Source organism: Homo sapiens, chromosome 18, assembly GCF_000001405.40.
Source record: "Homo sapiens chromosome 18, GRCh38.p14 Primary Assembly".
NCBI classification, from domain to species: domain Eukaryota; kingdom Metazoa; phylum Chordata; class Mammalia; order Primates; family Hominidae; genus Homo; species Homo sapiens.
In genome coordinates, this window is record NC_000018.10 from 361,916 (window position 1) to 388,830 (window position 26,915).

Below are 26,915 nucleotides of genomic sequence, written 5' to 3' on the forward strand. Positions count from 1 at the left end.
CACTAAGAGAGCCTCAGAAGATTTGGTTAGAGCAGAGATTATAGTAGATGACACAATCTGGGAGCTAGAAGGTTGTGCAGAGGTCAAGCGTCATTGTGTCATTGATGGGAAAAGAGAGGCCCAGAGAGGGGAAGCAGGATCAGAAGCCACAGGTCCTGACTCCAGCACACTCATCTTTCCCTCCCATCCTTCCCCGTGAGCTAGCCCTGTGGCCGCCAGGCATCTGGTGCATGTGGTATTCGTGCAGATCCAAGCCCGGACAGCTGTCACTGGTTCACATTCCAAAGAGCTGGGGCACTTCCTCACCGTGTGCATTTCTCACTGCTGACTCTATCAGCATTTAATCAATATCAGATGGCACTGCCTGGCCTCCCTTTCCACTTGACACGCTTTCTCTGTCTTGTTTTCCCCCTCCCCTGACTTCTTTTTAATAAGAATTCTGTTTTATCTTCCTCTCTGCCCTCCGCTGGGAGGACATCTGGCCAAACACACGGATGCCTACTACAAAGGGACCCTGCTGGCTCCTGTAGCTGGGGCACCCCCTCCTCCTTGAACCTAGATGGTTACAAAATAACATTCAAGAGAGATATCCCCCTGTTACCAGCCTTTGTAGTGTTTGTTTTCTTAGCATTACTTTCCAGAGCCTGGGGACTTTGTTCCCATGGCGGGGTGGGGGTGGGCAGGGAAGGAAGGGCTGGGGACTGATATACAGAGTGCTGCAGAGGAGAGATTTCAGTTCAGGAAGTGAAGCAGTGCTGCCCCTCACCATTAAGAGATCCAGCGTGCCAAAGAACCTGGCGCCAATAGCACATTTGAAATTCAGAGGCCTACAGGCAGCAAGGACCTGAAGGGTGCATGCCTTTCCGCTGCTTTTCCCTCTTGAACTATCTCCCGCTGAACTCCACTCTTGGCTCATGTTTTGAATGTATTTTCCAGTGTCCGAGTCTTTGTTATACAAAAAAGTGTGGGGGCCCAGTGAAGCCAAAATCGCTCTGGTTAACTCCTTGAGTATTCCATGGAAGTTCAGAATAGGCTGACAATTTGGTCCCCAGTGCCCAAACTCAAAGTCCCCTGGGCTGCCCTGGTTCCAACAACACATTTCAAGTAAGAAGCTGGCAGGGGGGGAATGGGGGCTGCTGATCAGTGAGCCGTTTGCTGGTTGGGGGAATAATTGAAACGCTCCAGGAATGACAGTGCAAAGGGCCAGAAGAATTCACCAGCAAAGAGAATTCCTTTCTGCTGTGGTTCTCCATAAAGAGCCCTCCCAAGTGCTGTGGTCCAGTCTCAATCCAGTCTGTTTTTCCGATCTTTTTGCAGAAAAAAAAAGAGTCTCCTTCACTCTCATATTTTTTTGCCATGTATATCACTGAAGGTGGGCTTGTGTGTTAAAATGGATACATTGCAGATCCATCCCCTTCCTTGGTAGGTGGAGGCCGGCACTGTGGGTGAGTGTGGGACACTTCTGGGCTATTTTCATGATCACAAGTGTCTATAGCTCAGTGGTGTTGCCATAAAGATCATGTTACCAAAGAGAAGCTTTAAAAAGGGTCAATTGCAAAATCCAGAAAACCACAAGTTTTGATCTGAGATTCGCAGTGAACTTTTCATGTGGTTTTTTTACAGTTATTAATCTACTGCCTGGTGGTATAGATTCCCATAAACCCATAAGAATGATTTGGCTCTAACAGTAAAACGGATGATTCAAATAAATTCCTATAATTAAAATGGCCCCAAAAGCAACAAAACAATAAGAGTTAACAACCCGGTTAGTTGCTTGAATGTTACGCAATATCACTGGAACAAAAGTTAAATACATAAAACACTTTATCCACCGAAATAACTAGCTTTTCCTTATGATGAAGGCTATTTACTAAATGATGAAATATGGAATTAGTAAAAAAAATTTTTTTTATTAGTGAGTAATTTAGTTCCCCAAATACAAATCCCAGCCCTGGACACCTTACTATGCCAAGTTTCCTAACGATGTGGATAGCCATGAAAACGGAAGCAGGACAAGAATTGGAAATGAAATCACTTTCTGTGCAAAATAAGTGAAGCCTCACAGCAGCTCTGTATTCATAAAGATGTGTTCAAACCGGAAAAGTTACTTAGAAGAGAGTTTTATGACAGCATGAACTCTTCGACGTTCATGCTGAACTTACATTCAAATTCTGTGCATTTACCAAGGGTATAGTTTGTTTTCATTGAAATTTTTTCATGTGTATAAAAAGAAAAGGCAGTCAGTTCTGGTTTGGTTTTATTGTTTTTTTTAAGATTATGCATTATTTATTTAAAATTTATAATTTATACCCTGCCTACTAAAAAAGAATTGTCGTAGGCAAAAGCCAGATGTAACGGTCCCACTCAGAGTATGCAGTGTCTGCCAGAATATATAGTGTCTCAAAAGAACGCCATTATTTTCTCTTTGTGGTTTTTATAAGAAATCCTTTATTAGATGAACTGTCCACAAATGCTTTCAATTCCAAGGAGAGGAATCCTTGCTCACTGGGGAGCTCAACCATCACATCTCTTACAGTTGTCTCTCCTAGCTGGCCCCTTCCTCTTGGCTCTATTCCTATACATTTTATTCTATGGGCACAGAGTGAACTGTCAACATTTCAGCAGCCTGACTACTTCATTATCTGGCACTACCATACAATGTCCTTCTGGGATTAAGTGCTGAATCTTTTCATTAAAAGGACTCATGAAAATGCAGCTCTAGCTTGGGTCATCAATCTGCTGTAGAATTGAGCCAGACACTGACTCTGACAGGTAATTGAGGAAGGCCATGAGACATTTCTTGAGTGGGTGAGAGTTTGCTATTGCTGTGAATGTGAAGAGGAATTGCTGAGGATGAAGGCTATTACTGAGGACCTGATATGGGCCAGGAACCCTCTCCTGGTTACTTATAATGTCTTTAACAACCCTGCAGAGTAGGAATTCTGACCCTAATTTTACAGATTTTAGGAAAGTGGGGAGGTCAAAGAGGGTGAGTACCCAAGCCAGTGAGTAGCTGAGCTGGGAGTTGAACCCAAATCTTTTGTGTGTTGCTTCTCCAAGCTTATTCATCTCCAGAAGTGAAAAACAAAACAAAGCAAGATAAAGGATGCCCAACGAGATAATCTAGAAAACGGACCAGTTAGACATACCAGTAGAAGTATTCTGTCAAAATAAAGGGGTGCGGAAACATCCTTTCACATGTTGATAGATAAGCCTTTCTCAGAAATAAGCAATAAAATGTAGTCTCCGGTGGGTTAACTAACTTACAGGCCTGATGCTTCTGCCGGCTATAATTTCTCCTTTATTAGACTGTGGTGACATACTTAAGCAGCAAGTAAATTCTGCCCTAAATAAATGCTCATTCTCTCTAGGAGAGGTCAAGAGTGGCTTGAAGGTTTGGCTGGTAAGGCATGTTAGCCCCTCAGGGGAATATCTCCCAATGCTGAGGGAGTTTTTGGAGTGAGATGGGCCAGGGAAAGAAGGTACCTTTATAATTTCAAAGCAAACTATGGGATATGCAGGAGCCTTGATCAGTTTAAGCTTGAAACCAAATAAATTGGTCACCCCATGGTTTTCTTTTGAAGTTCTAGTATGCTTGAAATGAACCCCAAAAGCCAGTCTTCAATGGCTCCTTCATCTACAGAGCCAAAAAACTGCTTGTGGCTCAAGCTTGCAGGAGCTGGGCAAGGTAAGACAGAGGCAAGGAAGAAGGTGACAGGAGGGTTTATCAGATGGCGATTAAAAAATTTATTTACCTCTAGCCTCTTAGCCTCCCTCTAAAAAAAAATTATCTGGAATACACTGGCAAAAAATATTTTTTTCTTACCAATACCTCCTTGACCCTGTGGTTCAGGAATCCACAGTGATTCTCCAGTTGCTCCCGCACCCTCTGACCATGTTGGCACTCAGAATCTTGAGGCCGGGAGGGGCGCTGGCTGTCATCTTGGCTAATATGCATCTCACCAGTGAAGAAACTGAGGCCCAAGGAACTCCACTCCTCTCTCCTACTCCCCCCACCCCAAGTTTATACACAGCCAGGCTGGCTTTAGGGCTCGGGTTTTCTACCTTCCAGCTGGAGTTCCTTCGACCCCAGAATTCTGCCCACATCACCACATTCCATTCTTGCTACATCCTGTTTATTCATTTCTTCAAGGTGTAAGTAGCAGGCAGTAGTTATACTGGTGAACACAACAGACAAAAATCTATCTCTGCCTTCTGGAACTTATATTCCAGTGGGAGGATGTCTTCATATGACAGAAGGTGATGAATGCTATAGTAAAAACAAGGCAAGCACTGAGCGAAGGGCATGTAGCGGGGGACGTAGATGTCAATTTTAAGTATGGTGTGTCTGGAGCCCTCTCCGCAGAGTAACATTTGAGCAAGAGTTTGAGGGAGCATGGGAAGGACCCCAGGCACCTGCATAGCTATGGTCTCTGACAGGGCTCTGCTCATTTCCCCTCTGGGCTGTGAGATTTGCCCTTCTCTTCCCTGAAACGCTCTTCCCTACTAACTAACTTCCTTTGTGCTTACTCACAGATTTCCTCCTCAATGCACCCTTTCCTAATTTGCCTTGAATCCCTAAGCACCTGTGTAGTTGATACTGCACACATCCACACTCCCCATGATCTTCATAGCTACCTCCTTGTACAGGCATGAGGGTTTTGTTTTTCTGCTGTGTTGCGTTTGCATTTCCCTAAGCAAAGGAGCACCCGCTAGTACTCGGCACATCCTGCGGCTTAACAAAGGCATGACTGGAGTACAGATCCGGGCAGTGGGAAGTGGGCCCTCGCTTCCAGGAGCAATCTCCCTGCCCCCAAATTGGAATCTGCTGTCAGGTGCAAGGGATTTCACAATCTCCTCTCCCACCTTTGTCTCCAGTCTTCTAGGTGATTTGCTGATCTCACTGTCCTGTGGGCCGGGGTATGGATGTCCTGGGAGAGGGGCACAGCTCAGGGGCCTGACAGTTAAAACACTGACACTGATGAGAGCCCTTTCCTCCCACACAGCCAAGGCTGATGCCACAGGGAGCCGCAGCCTCAAACCCGCTGGAGGTAGAGGGTGGAATGAAGGTTATGATGAAAGGAATGCAAAACATGCCTTCAGACCCCTGCCCAGACTGAAGTGAGTCCCAAGACCCTACAGCATTTCTCCATTTTGTGGGTCTCGGCACTTTCAAAACTCCATGTGATAGGGCCAAGATGAGAACTGTAAACCTGCAATCCAACACTTGCCTTGAGTGTGGCTGCTTTACAAAGTGTCATTTGGGGGCAGCTGAAGGACTAATATAATGACGAGGGGGAACAGCGCTGAGCAGGACAAATCTCAGTTAATGACAAGATATTTGCTGTTTGTCAACGACACAGTGTCGGGGCATGTGAAAATTATGCTGCTGAGCAGGTGCTGGCAAAGACATGCCTACATCCACTCTCCCTCACATACCGATTTGATTTTTTTTTTAACCACCAAAACTAGTGTTTTGATGGGGAAAAAAAGTGGACTTCAATGTAAATGAAAACATCAATCAACCTGACAGACATTCCTCGTTCCTCAAAAACATGTGTTTTTTACTTTCTTCAAGTGAAGATGATAGTCGAAGACACTTAAAATTAAGGGAACGAAGCCAAGACAGAGCAGGAGACTTCACCACTGCTGTTTTAAAACAGTCATTCTGTTCCACATTGAATGTGGCCTCAGTCTTGAACCTAATGAGAAATGAGTCAATCGACTTGAAATGATCCAAATGAGGAAAAGTTGGCAAAACAAGGAGGGAACTGGGAGGGACCTATTTTAATAGAGTATTGGCCCACGACGCCTGTGAGGGGAGAGTGGCCCCAGACGGAATGACGACCATCCCTGTCACTAGCCACATACTTGTTATTAAAACTGGACAAAGGCCTGGTGTCGTGGCCCATGCCTGTAATCCCAGCACTTTGGGAGGGTGAGGCAAGAGGATCCCTGAGGCCACGAGTTCAAGACTGGCCAGGGCAACACAGTGAGATGCTGTCTCTACCAAAACAAAACAAAACAAAACAAAACTAGACAAAGGGGGATGGGGAGAGAAATATTTTCATGGGGCAGACAGCTATACTTTTGGAAGTCAAAGCAATGAAACTGGAAATAAAAATGAAAAACCATTAAACAAAAAGTCAGAAGGCATGCAATGAATTATGGCATATAAAATAAATGGGAACATGTAGGCTTATTTAATTTTCCATGCCTTTATATGGAGTTTAGAAATGACAGTTAAATTTAGAAAATTGTTTAAAACTGAAATAACTAGATGGGAACATACGTTTGTACACACACACACAAAGTGACTTTCTTCAGACACTAGAGATGTTTGTAGAAAAGGATTTCTAAAGCAAAATTCAAAATCACCAGGCACAGTGGCTCATGTCTGTAATCCCAACATTTTGGGAGGCCAAGGTGGGTGGATCACTTGAGGTCAGGAGTTTGAGACCAGCCTGGCCAATATGGTAAAACCTTATCTCTACTAAAAACACAAAAAATTAGCTGAGCATAGTGGCACATGCCTGTAGTCCCAGCTACTTGGGTGGCTGAGGCAGAAGAATCGCTCGATCCTGGGAGGCAGAGGTTGCAGTGAGCCGAAATCCCACCAGTACTCTCCAGCCTGGGTGATAGACAGAGACTGTCAAAAACAAAACAAGGCCGGGCGCGGTGGCTCAGGCCTGTAATCCCAGAACTTTGGGAGGCCAAGGTGGGCGGATCATGAGGTCAGGAGATCGAGACCAGCCTGGCTAACATGGTGAAACCCCGTCTCCACTAAAAAATACAAAAAAATTAGCCGGGCGTGGTGGCGGGCGCCTGTAGTCCCAGCTACTTCTGAGGCTGAGGCAGGAGAATGGCGTGAACCCGGGAGGCGGAGCTTGCAGTGAGCCGAGATCACGTCACTGCACTCCAGCCTGGGCAACAGAGCGAGACTCCGTCTCAAAAACAAAACAAAACAAAACACAAAAACAAAACAAAAAAAATTCAAAAATCACAATTTCCCATGGGTTTATCATGGGCGTGACTGGAGCCAGCTTATACTGACTGGTGACCCCCAATTGTTGTTATCTCTTCACAACTCTATGTTCAGTGACTTTATATTGGTAGCATGAAATTGGTCATGCTGGAAGTATTCACACCATTGAAATCAGCAAAAAGCTCCAAATCAGGGCTTTTGCCTTCTGGAGAGCCGGCTGTTAAACATTTGCCAGCATTCCACTCAGCGCCCTTACCATTTGCCAGCCTACCACTCAATGCACATACCACTTAATGCAACTGATCCATTGCATTTAAACAAGTAAAGAGCACATACCACTTAATGCAACTGATCCATTGCATTTAAACAAGTAAAGAACTAATCTGTCCATATAGACTAATTACTTGAGAAGTTCAGGATCACTGGCACCACCAAGCTTGGACATGAAGCATCGTTCCTTTCCTTCCCCGGAGGTGATACAGATCTTTTTTTTTTTATTTTTTTTTATTTTTATTTTTATTTTTATTTTTATTTTTTTTTGGAATAATGTTTTTTTTTTTTATTATACTTTAAGTTTTAGGGTACATGTGCACATTGTGCAGGTTAGTTACATATGTATACATGTGCCATGCTGGTGCGCTGCACCCACTAACGTGTCATCTAGCATTAGGTATATCTCCCAATGCTATGTGCCCTCTTACTAGTGATATTTTACACATTAAATGTTTTGAATTCAAAATTTCCATGGAAACAAGGTAAATTTCAAATTTACAATCTCTGTGGCGTGATTATAATTTTAGGTTCCTAGTGAAACTGAGAATGTTTAAGGTTCAATTCCCACATGTCTGTTAATTTCACCCCACGGATACAGGCTGACTTAACTCTGACCAACCACCCTGAACGTGCACTTCCTTCTCACGTGGAAATGAGGTGGCATAGCAAAGTCAAGATGTGGAGCCCTGGTGAATCAGCCTAGGACAGGCAGCTATGGAGGACACATTTGGATTCAGATGGAGGAATCACCACCGAGGAAAGGATTATGAAGAGCAACCCCGATCTGGAAGATATTCTGTTTACCTCTCAAAATCATGCAGGGATTAAAACCCGACCTACAAGGCAGAAAAAAATACAAGAGTTCAGAGGAAAGCAACACTTCATTACATTCATGAGATGCATAAATGACTGTAAAAGCAGCAGACTCAGAAATCAAAATAGGAAAAAATCAGATTCTACCAGCTGAGCCATTCACAGTGCAGGCAGAAGGCCTTTTGAACTTCAGCTCTTACAGCAGAGAATCAGAAAATGTGACCAGGAGCACACCAGCTCTGGAAACAAGTGAATAATGGAGATCAGAGATGCAGAAAATACATATATAATTTCATATGATATGAAATTTTTATGGTATAATCACTTCATTGTATTTCATGCCCAAAGAAACGAATTTTATTTCCCCGATGGCCAAACAGCTCCTAATTACAGTTGTAAACTGGTTAAACGGGCTTAAAGAAGAAGCGGCTTTGGGTGAGGACTTAACAACACTGTCCAATCCGCACTTTGCTGAAGGTGTTCCCCACTTCCCCGGTGAATATGGAATTTGGAATTAGTACCAGAATCACCCACTAGGGATTCACTCATACATTTTATTTTTAATTTGCAGCATATATTTGTTTACATAAACTCCCAGTACACTGCATGCGGTTTAGAACACACTGTGAGTTCATTGCTTATTATTCTTTAAAACAGCCTGTGGTAAGAGAGACCCTTCCATTAAGAAGAGATACTTGTCTTGAGAGGTCCACCACACAACGGGATCCCAGGGATGGTCTCAGCTTGATGGATCTAGGAGGCATACCCCTTCTAAATGGTGCCTAGCCAGAGCTCTTCCTGCCTGGGGCAGCCAGGCCTCTCAACCCTACTCTGGAAAAGCAACTAGAAGCTCAGGTCCTGCTGATGATGGACTAGGAATGCCATTTTTGCATCTTTGTCATGCACCAAGACAGGGCTCATTCATCACCTTCCCATTATGCACAGACCTGAAGAGGAACTGAAAAAGAAGGATTCAGTGATTCAGAAAATGTTCGTTCCTAAATGAAGAATACAATGAAGTCTGGACTTCACAGCCCTCACTACTATGCAATGTTCCTTCCTGCTGGAAAGCAGTTATGTTATTGCAGCAAAGCTGGTCAAGACAGCCAACCACCTGTAAATACAACCTACTGGTTGCCCTGAAACAATCTGTCACTTTCTACAGTACTTGGGGGAAACAACACCTAATAAACAACACCTAGTAAAGCAAAAGAACATATACTACAGTCAAAGGAAAAATCTCATGTAGAACTGTGGTAATGACAGTGCTTATAAAATTAGAAGCACTCATTTACTAGGGTATACAGAGCCCCAGATGATGGTGTGATTATATGTTTACTAAGCTTTATCCAGAGGACTACTGCATAGAAGTCAATCTTCTTGACTTTGAGCCCGTGGAAGATCCATCTGTTTCTACTCCTGCTCACTTCCCAGACACGCCGCAACTGGGCACAAATCACGGAAGAGAAATGTTTATCCAAGTGGAGCTGGAAAAGCCAGGACTCCAGGAGGGCCCTGGGGTGCAGGGAGGACCCCTTCTTTCAAAGGTTTCTGCTGCACAGGCCTAGGGTAGGATGGAAAGGATCACAGAGTAGGGGATAGAAACAATTTTTTTTTAAAGAAAGAGAAGAAAATCTTCTGATTATCTAGACAGAACAGGAGAAAGGGGAGCTGCGGCAACAGGGAAATGAAAATAAGCAGTAACAGGCCTTGTGACAGTTGATTGTAGGAATGTCCCTGCCAGCGGGTAACTTGTGTCCTGACAAGCTGCGAGAGCCTGAGGCAAAGGATCTGTGCTTTGCTCACTGGGACCTAGAGAGGACACAAACTCTTTCTGTTCCTAATAAAGAACAGGTTCAAGAGAGTGAGGGGAAACAAACTGCGGTATGAAACTAACATCTGCACAGCAGTCATCGGCACAGCAGTAACATTACTTGGATATCCAGGGCAGAATCGATCAAGTACGTGAGTTCTGATGCAGGCACTGTGGTGATTCCTGCAAAGGTTTTATATCTGCACACTTGGTCTGCAGAGTGGAGCTGGACTTCTGCTCTCATTCTTCCCTCAGGTGCCTTTGTGCAGTACCAACACTGTGAACCAGACACTACGACCCCACCCGCCTATCCCACCTCCCCCCATTCAGGGACACTACGTTTAGACAGTGAAAGCCTTCTTTGGTAAATGCATTCCACAGTTCTCCTCCAGTCTCAATTCCCCTCTCGAAACACAAAATAGGTAATAGATTGAAAAGACCAAACTGGTTCCATTAATTTTTATTGTATTGTCTCATTTCTATTAAATCAAGCACCAGAGTCCTGAAGTCACTGAGACAAAGCTGGGAGCAGGCAATCCAAACCCTTGAAGTTGGTGCAGAAGTAGGGGCAAAATAATTTCCCATATCATTTTGGAGGGTATAACTGAAAGAGTGTTTTTTGTTTGTTTGTTTTTTGAGACAGGGTCTTGCTCTGTCACCCAGGCTAGAGTGCAGTGGCGTGATCTTGGCTCACTGCAGCCTCAAACTCCTGGGCTCAAGCAATTCTCCCACCGTAGCCTCCTCAGTAGCTGGGACTACATGTGTGCACCACCAGGCCCAGCTAATTTTTGTATTTTTTGTAGAAATGGGGTTTCACCATATTGCCCCGGCTGGTCTCAAACTCCTGAGCTCAAGCGATCCACCTGCCTCGGCCTCCCAAAGTGCTGGGATTACAACATGAGCCACCATGCCCGCCCAAAAGAGTGTTGTTTAACTGACACAGGATAATATGATTCACACAAAATAGAACATTTAGTAATTCAAGGGTGTACCTAGAACATTCTGCCAAGGGGACATTTAACGCTGTGACACAGGAAGTGTCATGATGACTCAGGAAGAGGGGATCCACATGTAGTCCCATATTCCAGCAGAAGAGTGCTTCTGGACAAATGTGTTAAACCTTCCCCCCATCTTCAAAGGAAACAGAGACTACAGCTCTGTGGCAAAAGGCAATGAATCCCTCTGAGGGATGTGTGTATTCTAGTTAGAGAGTAACACAGACTACAGCTGCCTGTGACCAGGACAAAACTCTGATGGTAGCCATGGTGAACTGGAACACAAGCTCATCTGTGATAAGAGCCTCTTAGTTTTCCTCTTATTCAATTTCCATCTTGATGAAAAATGGGAAATTTGTATGCAATTGAGGAACAAATACACAGATTTCTGTGTCATAATCTTATTGCTGATTTTGTATTTTGTCTACTTATCCAATGTAAGCTCATCCTATTTGATCACGTCTCTGACAGTCATACGGTTATCCTTTTTTCCTCCACAGTGACCGCTGGAAAGGGAACACCTTGCAACTTCTCCCACGAGGCTTTCGATCCTAATGTAAGGAGCAGACCTCTCCCGTCAGAAGTACATGGTGGGGAAAAAGGGCCATGTGGACACATGGAAACGGATTCGGGCAGGACCAGAACTATTTCCTTAGCCACACAGATGAAGGGTTTGTACTAATTCCTCAGTGAGGAGGAACTGGAACCTGATATCAAAATCCACTGTATGTCCTTTATAGTTTATTGTATATAATTATGTACCATAAACTGTGCATGGCTTACATTCCAGGGCATGGGATCAGTCATTCCTAACAAATCTCGTTGTCAATTTCTGTAAGTCCCAGCTAAGAATCCCCGTAAGGGCTTATCTGAACCGGGTAGAATCAAATATTGTGATAGAACCCCAGGGCCTGGGAGAAGCAGCAGCCCCCCACCTCCCCCCAAGAATTCTGTCTGGTATGCTTCGTGGTACATCTGCAGGTGAGCATTGACTCACAGATATACTTGGTGCACACCCTGTGTCCAGTACCGAATGATGCCAATATGAGCCAATGGGACTTGAGGAACATGTAATTCTATTCACTGTACTCTGCTGTGAAGACGCTACAACCTCCCTGTTAAGTCATGCTCTTTGCTCATTTCTGAGCTTGGGCCTCCTCTTGCATGCAGGCCCTGTTCCACAAATGACTCCAGGGGATAAGGGGCTTCCAAACACCTAAGTCCTAGGGTGTTGCTTTAAGCCACTTGGCTCTTGTGCATGTCTGTAAACCATTGCTAGAATTGGAGGTATTTCAAAGGCAGCGAGCGGCATATGAGAATAAATGATCTAATACAGAGAGTGAATTCCTGATGATTTAAAGCCATTGAGAAAAGCGGCAAACAGAGCTTGGGAGACAGTACACCTCGATGTCCTCAAAAACACATCCCTTAATTTCTAAGAGACCATAATTTATCTTTCTATACTGATAACACCATATTTGTCAAATACAGATATTATGGACTTTTAATATTAGGGAATTAAAAGATCCTTTTAAACTCTGTTTTGAAATACATACATTTTTTCACGTTTGCACATACAGTAACACACCAGCCAGTGTTGAAAGTATGACCTGCAATTGCAATCAAGCCATTCAAGCCATTCAAAGAACAAGCCACATGGAAACTATGACCTCGCCCCTGAAAATCACCCACAGGCATATGTTTGGGCATGATTTCAGGAGATCCATGGGCTCTAGAAACCACCTGTAGGCCTGAGGCTCGGAACTTGTGATACCTGGCCTCCCATAGGAAGTATGAGGATATCCTAATTTTTCCCACCAGAATTTGTATAGACTAGCAAGTTTTGGGGCGGCTTGTTATACTAATAGGCTTCATAGTCTCCACTGAGGGGGCAATTCTGTTTATAAACATTTCCCTCACCCTTCTTCCCCATTCATTCTTGTGGTTTCCTGGCCCAAGCAATACTTATCTGTGAGCCACTGGCCCCAATAACTAACTCAAGACAGCAACACGTTATGCATGGTGAGTTCAGACCGCAGCTGTCTATGTAGCCAGTTAAGTAGCATCATCAAGACGATCCAGTGCAGAGCAGTGGCAAAGGACAGAACCACCCAAAAGGAGGGAGGAGGCTGGACACAGATACATGGGAAGTTGGGGAAAGTTCATCTGTTGTTAAAATCAACAAGTACAATGTCGACAGTGGAGGCCCAGATGTCCCATTAAGAAGTGTCCTACTTAGTCTGGAAAAGTTGGCAACTGTTCTCATGGGAACCAGCAGCAGGAGCAGCAGCTGCAGTGCACAAATAGAAGTGTCCTTCCTCACACCTAGTTTCATCTGGGTCAAGTCCCTCCTCTGCTCAAGCTCTTCTGGGAGCTTCTCCTCTCCTGAGAGAAAGAGCTGAGGTTCATGAGGCCCTACACTGTCTGCCTCCAAAGCTGCCTGCCTTGCTGTTTCGACTCCAGCCATGCTGGCCTCCTCACCAGGCCTCGAACACACCAGGCCTGCCACCACAAGGCCTTTGCATGGGCCGTTTCCTCTGCCTAGGACACTCTCCTGTGGGTACCCTCATGGCTTTCTCCCTTTTTTCGGGTTTTTACTTAAAAACATCATCTTCTCAGAGAGGCCTTCCCTGACCATTCTTTTGAAAAATGCAATCCTCCTCCCCCATGCCTCCATCTCCCTTTCTTGTTTATTTTATGTATTTATTTAGCTATGGAGTCTCATTATGTTGCCCAGGCTGGAGTGCAGTGGCTATTCCTAGGTGCACTCATAGCTCACTGCAGCCTCAAACTCCTGGGCTCAAGCGAGCCTCCCACCTCAGCCTCCTGAGTAGGTAGGACCACAGGCGTGCACGACCACACTTAGCTCTGTTTATTTTTCTTCATAGCACTTATCACCATTTCATTTACTTATGTATTTTACTTATCTGTTGGCCTCCCTAACAAGAATGTGAGTTCCATGCAGGCAGAGATCTTTGTTGGTTGAACTGCCCATTGTCTCCCCAGAGGCTAGAAGATGGTTAGAACAGTATCTGCCTCATAAAGTCGTTGAGGAGATTAAATGAATTAATGCCTGTAAAACACCTGAACGGCACAGGGTCTATACTAAGAACTACAGCAATATATGTTATAATTTTGATTTTGTTTTAAATTTTATGATGAAGGCAATTGGGTAGTTATTACCATATCCATCTTACAGATTCCAAGATGGAGGCTCAGAGTAATTTACCTGAAGTTCCACATTAGTGACTGGCAGAGAGAGGATTCAAACCCAGATCGACTCCATTCCGTGCACTAATTTCCCCTTGCTCTGCTTTGGAAGTCCTGGGATAGAAGAGAGGCAGAAATCCATTCTTTCTGGAACAACCTCAAAACCTGAGAAGGCTGGTCCACCCCAGGGGGTGGGAAGTGGGGAATAATGGCTCCAGAATCCAGGGACCGTTTCCTTACAGACCTTTACACTGCATGGATCTAACATGGCGTGTGGCATTCTGTTTACTTCCTAACTTCACCAAAAAATGTAATACAGTCTGCCAATTAAACAATGTTTTCATGACCCCAGAAAATCCATGGATTGGAGACATTTACTTTAAACAGCCATTCCACCATAACAGGAAAAGAGGTAGAGCAGAGGAGTTTATTATAACAGCTGCTTTCATACCTCAAACAAGGTTTGGCTGTTTTTGGCACGTTGCACTGTAGTAGAGTTGGCAAGAAGCGGACAGACTGCATGAGTTTCCTTTCAAAAGATCATTTTGCTTCCTTAAAAAACCCATGACTGGACTATCTAGTGTGAACTGCAGATGTTTGTTCTTCCTTTGCTTCTCTGTCCTTGGGGAGCTCCCACCCTGCTTAGGCCTAAATGGGGACACGAGTTTCTAGAGCAGAAAGAGCTTTGGAATGGCAAAGACCTTGATGAGAATCCTACATTTCTTTTATTAGCTGCTTAACCCAAGACTCTCGTCTTTCTCTGCAGGGTTATTCTAAGGATTAGAGTAAGGCAAATAGAGACCCTAGCACAGTGTCAGGCACGGTAACAGGCACCTATGATTATCATGAAATTAGATGGCTAGAGGCTTGAGTGTGAGTCCTCAGAGCTCTCCTGAGATACTGCATTTTACAAAATGCATGCAGCAGAGAATGTAAAGTACGAGCTCTTGCCTGAAGCGTTTTTTATAAAGGGACTTTTCTGCACCCCTTCCCTTCCAACCTACAAAGTTGGTAAGAAATAGAAGAAGGATAGATGTCAGGGTTCCCCTGCACGTGTCATTGCTCTTGGGGTCCAAAAGGGGAGGAAAGGGAAGAGGGGACGGAGGACCTGGTGGTGCCCTGGAGGGCAGAGCTTCAGTGGGTTTTAAACTGGAAATCCTACAGGAAGTGAAGGCTCTTGGCTCCTGGGACCTGGGCTGCCCTGTGCTGTGACTCCTGTAAAACCCAGTGCTCAGCAAGCGGCTGAAACCATTTCAATGCAAATGGCTTCCAGATGGCAGAAGAGAAACCAGCAGCATGATGCTCCCGGCACGTGTGAGCCCGAGGGGTCTGATGCCCATTGGTCAGGCTGCCGCCTGAAACTCATAAAGAACCCGTAGGAATTAGGACTGGAACCCCCAGCAAGCTTGCATTCCCTGGCTAGATCTAACAGTGTGCGCTGGGATATGCCAGTTACAGGCGTATCCCCTGCAATCTGCGGTGTCTTGGGCAGCACAGAAGCCACCTTTCTCGCCCCTTCCAGCAATGCTTATTCTTCGGCCTCCAAGTATGAGACCCACAGACAACACAGGCCTTGTTGCTCAAAGGAAAGGAGCCTCCCAAAACATTTGGGAGAAGTGCGCTGGGCTGGGTTGTTGGACCCTGCTGCACTGGAGGGAATCCTTGGCCATTGCTGGCAGCTTTGAAGACCTATTTTTTATTTCCAAAGCTTTTAATCCTTTGTCTATTCAGAGCCTGAGCTTGGAGCACTTGCCATCCAAAGAGACAAAAGCTGATGAGCGGCCCAAGAAAGACAGGGCCTGGATCAGAAGGACACCACCAGCTGGGTGCTTAGGAAGCACTCACTCCTGGGCTGGAACCTGGTGAGGAGTGGGGCTGGGGGAAATAGGGTGGCGGGGCGGGTTGGGGCTTTAACTCCTTCCCCACTGAGAAAGCTGTGGTTTCATCTGGACATTGAAACAACCCACATCCCAAATACCAACTCAACCAAAAAGAGAATATAGAATTGTGCACATCTTCAGCCCTAACCCACTATCCACGGGTGATAATCCAAAAATTTAACAAACGCTCTGGCACTGATCAATGAGAAAGGATACCCCCTGCTGCTGCCCAGTTGAGACTCAGTCCTGCCTGTGCCCCAACAGAGACATTTAAAAAAATACCACTGCAGTTACTTGTGGGTGGAATCTCCCGGGCAGCCAACACATTTCCCAGTGTTGGCAGAAGTTTTCAACTGCCTGGCGCTCTTCCTGGAGGGCACCCTGCACAGCGCTGGCCAGGCTGCACAGAGCTGAGGGCACATCAGAAGAAGTTGTGAATTAAACACAAAAACCGTCATAAATAAAAGTAGACAGAAGGATGGCTATTTTAAGTTGCTCCACTGTTTAGGGAAAATAGCTGCAAGGAACAGCGGCCAGGACATGGAGACTATTCTTCCATTCTTTTGTGTTTCGGTGAACTGAAACGTCCGATGCAATTGGCACGGGTTTTTCAGCCAACACAGAGGCCCACAGGGTGTGGCCACTGAGGGAGAAAGAATGAAGCAAACAGCACCCAATTCTCGACCTCCAGGGCCTTATCAGGAGGACTTTGCAATCCATTTCTTGGCAATTGCTAGTAAAAGTTGTAGGTAGATATCTAGCTCCTTACCCATAGCCTATTGTGCTCTCCGTGAGGTCTCCATCAGTGCCAAAGGGTCTACTAGGAGAACCATGTTTTATCTTGTCCTTTCAAGACCCTTCTTCTCTACATGGTGTACTTCTTCCCAATTTATTTCCCCTTTTCCTTTCTATTCCTAGATTGTTCTCCCCTCCATTCTTACATCTCCTTCCTTCTTTTCCCCAAGTACCTGCTTTGCTCTGCCATCCCCCTCATTCTCAGCAGTTCTTTTTCTTCCCAGTTCTTTCTTTCCACCAGTGCCCTCAAGAACTTCACACCCAAACTGCCAGCCATAATCCTGAATGGCCTTGGGTGAGGATTGAGCCACGCCGGTGGAAATGCACAGGGTGGTTTCTGGCAACCATGCCCTCCCCAACGCAGGGTGCACTCTGGTCGACTAAGGCTGGAGGGATGGTGCAATCTTTTTATCTCCTTTTATTAGGAAAAGAAGGTTTTGTTTTTGTTTTTTTTTTTCTTTGAGACAGGGTCTTGCTCTGTCACCTAGGCTGGAGTACGGAGGAGTGATCACAGCTCACTGAAGCCTTGACCTCCTAGGCTCAAGTGGTCCTCCCACCTCAGCCTCCCAAGTAGCTGGGACCACAGGCACATGCCACCATATCCAGCTAATTTATTTTTTTATTTTTTGTACAGATGGGGTCTCACTATATTACCCAGGCTGGTCTCAAACTCCTAGACTCAAGCAATCCTCCCATCTCGGTCTCCCAAAATGCCGGGATTACAAATGTGACCCACTGCACCCAGCCGGGAGAAAAAGTTCTAACAAGCAGAAAGGTCTGTTTACTCCAAAGCAGGTCCATGCAACTAAAAGTTTTGGAAAAGTGAAGAAAATAGAGGAGAATGACAAAGGGAAAAAGGAAGAAGTAAAAGGAACAAAGAGTAGAGAGAAAGACCTAACTTCAGTGTGATCACAATTTATTCCAGTCAAAGCCCAAAATATAAAAACTGTTTCTATTGTTCCACTAAGTAGTGGCCTCTCGGTGCTTCTGACAAGTGATTTAGAGTAAAGTGGTCTGCTCCCACAGGGGCTTGCAAATCTTCATGCATGATGGTTCGGTCGAGAAAGCCGAAGTTGCCCAGTCAGGAAGGTGGTGATGCAAAGGTCAGATGAATAAGGGAGGAGTTCATTCATCAACCCGACATGTGAGCATGGCTGGGACAGTGCGCAGGACGAAAGCCATCTGGTAGCTTTGCTTGCAAGACCAGATTAAGAAAGCACCAGCACAAAAACCACAAAGGAGAAGATGAAGCTGTATTTCCGGAGGAAAGCAAAGATTTCTACCCAAAGCTGAGGTAAGAGCTTTATTTTTTTTTTCCAATGATGAAGAAAGAATCCTACTTCCCTCTGATTTGCATTATTTTTAGCACATATGCCTCAGCATTGGTGCCCAATAGGTCCGGCAGTGTCTTTTCAACAGCCTGAAATTTTTCAGTAGTTTCCCTTTGCCTAGAGTATAAAACAAAATTCATAGCATGGCATATGAGGCCTTCATGATGGAACCACTAGCTTACTCTTTACCGTCATCTTTCCGCATTCCTCAGTGCAGCTTCAGAGTACTGGCAGCTTGCAGAGCACATTATGCTGGCTCTTCCCTCCCTTGTGTAATATGCTTTTCCCTCTGACTGGTACACTTTCCCCTACCTCCTTGCCTGGCTAAATTGTACTCTTCCTCTATAACCCATCTCAAAACTCACACTCCTCTGTGAAGTGTGAGTTCTCAGGGGTTCCCTCTTCTAAACACCTACTGCACTTGAATGCCATCCCATCATGCTAATCATCAGTCATTGTAATAGGGACAAGAATGGTATCTTTTCATCAACGGTGCCTAACACAGGAAGTACCCCAAATTTGTGTCGATGATTAATGCAGCATTCATTTGAATTCCACATGTACACACATTTAATTACACACACTCACATACACACACTCACACACACACGCTTGCAGGATGTCTTCTCCTGCATCTCTAGGGGTGTGGGTTCCAGGTGGGCCCCTGCCATGAAGTTTCTGATCATGCCCCAGTGATAATATGGATGTGACGGAAAGAAGTGAGCTGTACATCAGAAATCAAGTTTGAAATTTGGGAATGTCTTTACGTTCTTAGAGACCTCATCTGCACAGGCCTCAGCTTTCAACTCAGGCAGAGTACGTAAGTTTGCATGAGAACGTAGAGTAGACAAAAGTGAGAGACGGCAGAAAGAAAGAGGTACAGGGTCTTGTGTGGAGCCTCCCACATGGTTCTCTTCCAGTTCCCTAGGCAACCGGCCCCTGATGAGTGGTTCTATCTGGAGAGCCATATATTATTTCCATAGATGTTAATTCCATTTTTTATGAACCCTTTCCCAAAGAGCCACAGAATGTCAAAAGTGCTGAGAGAAGAAGTTGAGCCTTCTATAAATGTCAAAGCAAACAGAACCAGGCTCAGAGAAAGCAAGGTAAGTACTGGAAGGAACTCCTTGCATTGCAAGGCAGGTGAAGAAAAGTGCAGAAATGGCTATTTACATAGGAAGGAGTTTCTGCAAGAGTCAATTGTATTGAGACATACTTCTGCTCTAAAACCCAAGTTTTCAATGTCTGGCATGAAACTGGCAGGAGAGAAGAGGGATATTGAAATCTCAAGGGTTCTGCAGTTCTAAAATTTGATGTGGTTTCTGTTCACGTCAACATAAAGAAATGATAAATACTTGAGGTGATGAATATGCTAATTACCATGATTTGATCATTATACACTGCATACATGTATCAAAATATCACACTGTACCCCATCAATAAGTAAAAGTATTATGTGTCAATTAAAATAATAATAATAAAGGAAATGCCAATGAAAACAAAATGATAATCCCTATTTACCACACATTTTGGTGGGAATATAAGTTGTTATAACCTTTTTGGAGGGCAACCAAAATTTTAAGTGTATATATTCTTTGATATGTCAATTTCAGTTATAGAAATAAATTCTTCTGAAATATTCCAACAGTACAAAGGTATATGAATGAGAATATTCACTAAAACATTACTTGTCATGAAGGAAAAAATGGAAACTTTTAATGTCCATCCAAAGGGAAATTATTGTATAAATCACGGGGCATCATGGTCTGAAATTCTGTGCAGTAGATAAAACAATAAATTCATATGCAGTAGCATGGAGATATATCCCTATGATATACATAGTTTCAAGTAAAATAAAGCAAGTTGCTGAAGGATTTTTTTTTTAAAAAGCTCACCTCTCATCAGGAAAATAATGACTGGATTTACAAATGCCAAGAACTCATTATTGGGGCATGTTAAACAAGTAAGCAGATCTGTGATCTCTTACAGACTTAAAAAAAAGACTTACTGCAACCATGGGGGAGACAGAAGCATTACTAGGACCTGCCCTGCTATAGTCATCTGCAACACACCCATGGCGGAGTTGGAACAGTATTTTTACTAGCACATACCAGGTATACTGTGGGTCAAACAGGCATTGCAGATGGCCAGATGATCTGATTACCAGTGAAAAACATTATTTCTAGGGCAAACTGTGTCTTTAAATTATCAAAATCTGCCTAATAATTCACCCTTCCTGTGTTAAGTTAGGGAGTCCCTGTATAAATCAGATACAGATGGAAAAAAAATCCCTTTTTCTTTCTGCTTTTCATGCCCAGAATCAAGAATATAATTAGCTTCACAGATATGTGGTCTTACTACTTTATATAGTAAATTTACTTGTAGGCAAGAAGAGTGTCTTCTAAGTGTTCTGCATCTCATCACAACAGAGTAGGTTTTCCTAACCTCGCAAATACATGACCTGAAAAAACAGGATTGAAAACGACTTTGAAAGGCTGGAACTCTGGAGCAAACCCAATATAATGAAATTCAACAGGAATGAAGTCCCTGCTTACCTTAGGCTCAAGTTTCTATCTGGACACTCCACTTATTAGCACTAATCCCCCCGAGCCCTGGTTTCTTAATGTGTAGTATGGGCATCATTACAGCCACATTATAGGATTATTGTATAGATTAAATGAAATTATGCATTTACAGTGAATACAGTATAGGTGGCACAAAGTGGGCCAGTGTATAGTAAGTGCCTGCTTCTTTTCTCCTTTTTGCTGATTCAAGCAAATGTTATTTTTAAATTTTGTTTTAAGTGACACATAATAATTGTACATATTCATGAGCACAATGTGATGTTTCTATCCATGTATACATTGTGTAATGATCAAATTATAGTATTGAGCATCACCTCAGACATTTATCATTTCTTTTTTTGTGTGTTGTGATCATTCAGAATCCTTTAAAAATGCAATGATTTTTTGGGGTGTCATCTACAGGCAAAGAGCATGCATTCTGGCCTGCACCTCCATGCTGTCCATTTTACAACGCAATTCCCCCAACGGGACTCTGTCATTTTCCAGGACTGCCTGTACTGTGTGGGCAAGTCTGTCTAATCTGGAGTCCAGGACTGGGAAGTTCATTCTTGTGGCATACCCAACCCATATCCTCTCATTTGGGCCTTTATCAGAATTAAAGGTGAATTTTTTAAATTAAAAAAGCCAGAACATAATTTAATTTAATTTTTTAAATTAAAATTGCCAGAACATAAGACGAGAGTAATGGCTTAGTAGTAGCATGAGTAAGAGTTTGAGTGAGTAGCCTATTCAGTATGAGTCAGTGATTTGGTGCTGTTAATATGCAATGAGATGGAGGTGAGGAGGGAGTGAGGTCTCAGGAGGGAGATGTATGTGCCCAACTCCCCGTATGTCTCATCATAAAGTCCCAGAGGACAAAATACAATAATACCTGCCAGAAACATGATAAAAGATGAGTTTAGCTACCCTAGCTGTGGAACTTAAGTTACGATTATATTGGTTTTGTATAAACGTAAAACAAAAATCAAGATAAAAACTAAAAACCAAGAAACAACCATGAGTTTTAGCTTACGGAGAGATCTATCCATTCAACAATAGGTTGTAACCTCCCATCTCCCCTAACTGCCCCCTACCCACTCCTTCTCCACACTCTACCTGGGTATCCATCAACGCCTCTGATTAGTAAAGAATCCAGAACAGTGGTTGTATTAGTCCATTCTCAGGCTGCTAATACAGACATACCCGAGACTGGATAATTTATAAAGGAAAGAAAGGAAAGAGGTATAATTGACTCACAGTTCCACATGGCTGGGGAGACCTCACAATCATGGCAGAAAGTGAAGGAGGAGCAAAGTCACATCTTACATGGTGGCAGGCAAAGAGAGAATGAGAACCAAGCAAAAAGGGGTTTCCCCTTATAAAACCATCAGATTTCATGAGACTTATTCATTTCCATGAGAACAGTATCGGGGAAACCGCCCCCATGATCCAATTATCTCCCACTGGGTCCCTCCTACAACATGTGGGAATTATGGGAGCTACAATTCAAGATGAGATTTGGGTGGGGACACAGACAAACCACATCAGTGGTTCTGAATCTTGGCTACAATCGACATACCCAAGAAGCTTTTATAAATCTTGATGCTTAGACCACATTCCAGGTCTGTTATATCAGGGTCTCTGCTTGTGGGTCCCAGGCATGCATCCAGCGGATCGCAGTGTGCAGCCAAGGTTGAGAACAACTGCTCCAGAATGCTAGTCCACCTCACCTGGAGGATGGTACCCATTCCGGGCCACTAACTTGAGGAAGGCTGGAGTGTGACCAGGATAGAGAGGAGTCTAATGTTTGACATAAAGACAGCTGGAAAAGGACATGAAGAACAGGAGGCTCAGGGAGGTGTGGTTGTTACCTGCAGATAGATGAAGGACTGCCACGTGTAAGAGGAAGTTATTTTGTTTTCCCTGCATTGCTATTAAAGGTGGGAACTAGAGAAAATTGAATTTCAGCTCAACCTAAAAAGAGAACTCTTTGAGCAGGGAGTAGGAGGCACAGTTAAAAGAATGTGCAACCTACTGCTGAATGCTGTGCACGTAAGCTAGAGTGAAACCCCGTTGGTCAGAGATTCTGTAGAAGGAGGTCGGCACAAGACACAGGGAACTGGACTCCATGACCTTTAAGGTCCTGTGTAACTGTGATTCCAGGTGTCTTTGATTCTAGGGGCTCAATGGTTTGTCATGGACTAATTACCAACTTTGCAGAAGGAATAAAAACATTTTGTTGAACTCAGGAGAACAAATCCATCATAAACCTTACCAAATGGATAAGCACAGATAGGCTGGGACATAGGAATAAGCCTAAGAAGACTGAAATGCCTAGAAGTTCTTTCCATATCACCATACAGTTCATGAGAACAACTTAAAATACAGCAATAAAACGCAATCACAGTAAATGGCCTTGCTGTGGCAGCTCTCTAGAAGGATATCTGCTGATTTAAGAAGGCAGAACTCTGGAGGAGACCCCTGCTGTTTACATGGTTGTCCAAGTTAATTATCCCTGTACTTTCAGATGAAGTGAATGGTAATCTGTTTATCTAGGTCAAATAGTTGGAACTGACTCTGTCCCTTGACAGTCATATGAAAATACGTAGTGTTGTCCTTTTGGGCATTATAAGAAAGATCAGGTTAAAAAAATAGCATCCACTTCTTTACAGGCACAACATAGCCTTTATTTCTAAAGTACTCTAATTAGACCCAACTCTAAACAAGTGGTTTAAAATGGGATTTTTTTTTTTTTTTTTTTTTTTTTTGAGACAGAGTCTCGCTCTGTTGCCCAGGCTGGCGTTCAGTGGTGCGATCTCGGCTCACTGCAACCTCCACCTCCCGGGCTCAAGCGATTCTCCTGCCTCAGCTTCCTGAGTAGCTGGGATTACAGGCACACACCACCACACCAAGCTAATTTTTGTATTTTTAGTAGAAATGGGGTTTCACCATGTTGGTTAGGCTGGTCTCGAACTCCTGACCTCGTGATCCACCCATCTTGGCCTCCCAAAGTGCTGGGATTACAGGCATGAGCCACCGTGCCTGGCCAAAAATGGAAATTTTTTTAAAGACAGAAAGAAAAGAGATTTTAGTGGCTAATTATTTCCGTTTTTTCAATTCATGGTATATTTTTTGTCTTGAGTTTATGGAATGTTTCCCCATAGAGATAATGAAAATCTGGCTTCTGGCCTCTGCAACCATTCTAAGAACAGCAAAGTACATACATGGAAGAAAGGATGGAAATACCACAGAAAATTAGTAAAATGCTGATACTGGTTACCAGAACAAAGAGGGGTGTCAGAATGGAGGAAGAAACTTTATATGTCAGAATGTATCTAGGGGAGATGTGATTTAATCTACAAAATAAAATCTTTGGGAGAGTAAAGTGCTACCTAATGGCATTTACCAGATGTCCTTTAAGGTTGATCTGATTTCAGATTAAGTCAGTCAGAGTGAGCTGGGGATACAGTAGGGGTGGATAAATCCACTGTGGGAAAAGTTAGGATTATCAGGGTACCTTTTGTGGGTGGGGGAGAAGGCTAGGCTTCAGTTTGACCCTTGAGGGATGGTGCCTTCAGGAAATTACAGAATTATTGAGCTTCCTGAGCTACAAACTTCCCTTAGATTATGTCCCTTTGAACTACTTATTCTTTACTACCTAAATCCAATGTATTGAACATTGTTGAGCACCAACTGTACAAGTCATGTTGTAACCATACATGGGCAGGCAGGGGTGACTGGAAGACTAAAACGTGGTCACTGCCATCTTGGAACCCTAGAATGATAATGCTACAAGACCTTGCTACTCAAAGTACTGTCTGTGGACTAGTGGCATCAGCATTATCTGGAATATTCTCAGATGTACAACCTCAAGCCTGTCCCCAGACCTACTGAATCAGAATCTGCATTTTAACAAGATCCCCAGGTGATTCCTATGTCCATTAACATTGGAGAAGCACTGCCATTGGAGACCTCAGAGTCTCTAACCTCTCACCCTTCAGATACAAACCCAAGGCTCAGAGAAGTTAGGTGACTTGCTCAAGGTCACACCACACATTCATAGCAGCCAGGTTTAGAACATTTCTTGATGCTTCATCTGGAAACATATATTACAGGAAAAGAATGGATATGGGAACCAGGCAGACCTGAATTTGGAAGCTGAGAGCCTCAGTTTTCTCACTTACGGAAACTAAGTTGCTTATACTTCCTCAAATATTCCTCAAGTATAAGCAACCTAGTTTCCATAGGTCTCAAAAAATAAAATTTGATTTCAATTTTTTTTTTCTGTTCCCACCAGCACCTTCTGGGCACACATAGCTTCTGAAGAGGCCAGGTGTACAGCTGACTTGGGATTGAGGGGTTCTCCACGTAGTGAGGAGTTTTGTTACAGAAAGAACGCAGACCGCTACCATATCTGCTGAAGGTAGGGTGCCCACATTGCTGCCCCATGATCGCTAAGACTGTTGTCTATGCTTTATATAGATCCCTGGATGTCTCCAGTCCTGTTTTCCAACACATGATCTTTATGGCAACACCACTGAGCTCGCTTTTGGCAGATTAATTGGTAGCGTTGTCAGCACAGCTACCTTTTATTGCCAATAAACTTGGGTCCCTGAGCGCTGTGGCCTTAATTATTTGTTATTTCTTTTTCCAAGAGGGATAAAGAATGTTCTGCTTTTTTTTAAAGTGTCTTTTGCATCAGGACAAGACCCTGAATAATTCACTGAGGAATTTACCATATGGCAGTGAGCAGAAGCGCTTTAGAGAAAGCAAAAAATTAGCAGACGACAGCACCCTCTACTAGCCTTTTCCCTTTTCTTTATACTTTCATTCCTTCTTTCTCATCTCCCCATCAAAAAAATTAAACGAAAATCATACTTAATGGCTAGAACTCCATTTTTTTTTTAATGGCAGAGAATCAGTGGCTTCCAATTTAAGCCTAATGATGAAATTTCCACCAGTAAAATATGGTGGACATGTTTGAAGGCGTCAATGACATAGTGCAATCCTTCTGCGATGATTTCTCACTTAATACTTGAGAACTGCTCAGTCTCTCACGGCAACATGGATTCAGATACAACCATATACGGCTGTGTATTTTCATAACTCTTAAAAATAAATATGTACGCTAGGAAAATTTGGGATCTTTGTTGAGAGAATTTAAAGTTAGGCAAAAAATCATTTTGATGAGTGTAATCACTGTATAACCCAGTGTGTAATTTTAAGACGCTTCACTAGCTTGTGGGGCTTATCAGAATATTTTTCCTTATGTACGACAAAACTGGGACCACATTAAGCAAAATTCCACTGATTACTTTTTATGCAACTGAGAAATTGTCAGTTCAGCCAATTGCTAGCTCTCTCCAATACTTGGGATCTAGGAAAAATTAATGCATGGGGAAGGGAACACAAAGTCCGTTTTGGCCTATAGTTTCAGTATCTTCCCCGCAAAACAGTTTACGGAATTGGCTAGTAGGCAGACAGATGTAAGCTGCACCTTCTTTCATTTCTACCTTCTTGTCAAGGGGCTAATGAACTGTAAAACAGCCCCAACTAGACAGCAGGAGGGGTAAGGAACAAAAAGAACTTGGTAATAAACCATCTACATAATTGGTTCTTGAAAGAAAATCAAGCTTAAATATTAATATTTAAGGCTGTTAGTAGCCCTCAACTTCCACAATTGCAAGACACATCAGCTACTTAGTATACTATTTTATTATAGTCAAATACCACCTCATTTGAAATAGAGGCCTAGATTGATGTTTCAGTCAGAGTTATCCGTATAATCTCTAACTAAATCCGCCTAATTGGATCATCTGCAATGGCTCCTTTGGCCATTAGTCTTAATTAACGTGGCACCATGGTTACTGCACATGCTCACTGGCTTTAAAGTAGCAGCTAACCTGATCATCTATCAGCCTCTTTATGAAACGATTCACTTGTCAAGTTTCTGTATGCGCATGGGTCTCTCCAAATGCCAACCACACATCAGTGATGTTTGTAAACTCCAGGATTTTTTGTTTCATTTTGTTTTTTTGAGACAGGGTCTTGCTCTGTTGCCCAAGCAGGAGTGCATGGCACGAACTCAGCTCACTCCCACCTCAGCCTCCTGGGTAAACTCCAGTTTTAATAATGCTTAAGTCATTTCATGAGCTACCTGTGGCCACCCAGGTCCCAGAGCTGGCATGTCACAGAAATGGACTAAACAGAGATGAGGTTGAAGAAACAACTGAAGGTAATCCTGGCAATGAAGAGG

General features: G+C 43.6%; 1 protein-coding gene and 1 long non-coding RNA gene across 4 annotated transcripts in view; one reads left to right on the forward strand and one right to left on the reverse strand.

Moving 5' to 3' along the window:
- COLEC12 (collectin subfamily member 12) overlaps nucleotides 1-26,915 on the reverse strand; it is a 183,965-nt gene that overhangs the window by 45,179 nt on the left and 111,871 nt on the right. The gene's annotated exons all lie outside the window — the stretch shown is intronic.
- LOC107985155 (uncharacterized) overlaps nucleotides 7,476-26,915 on the forward strand; it is a 31,075-nt gene continuing 11,635 nt past the window's right edge. The window contains exons 1-3 of one of the 2 annotated variants that reach the window (XR_001753316.3): nucleotides 17,987-18,058; nucleotides 19,115-19,201; nucleotides 24,957-25,082. This is a non-coding gene — a long non-coding RNA (uncharacterized LOC107985155). Of the gene's footprint in view, nucleotides 25,083-26,915 lie in introns of both variants that reach the window. The other variant, XR_007066264.1, reaches the window with a different exon arrangement.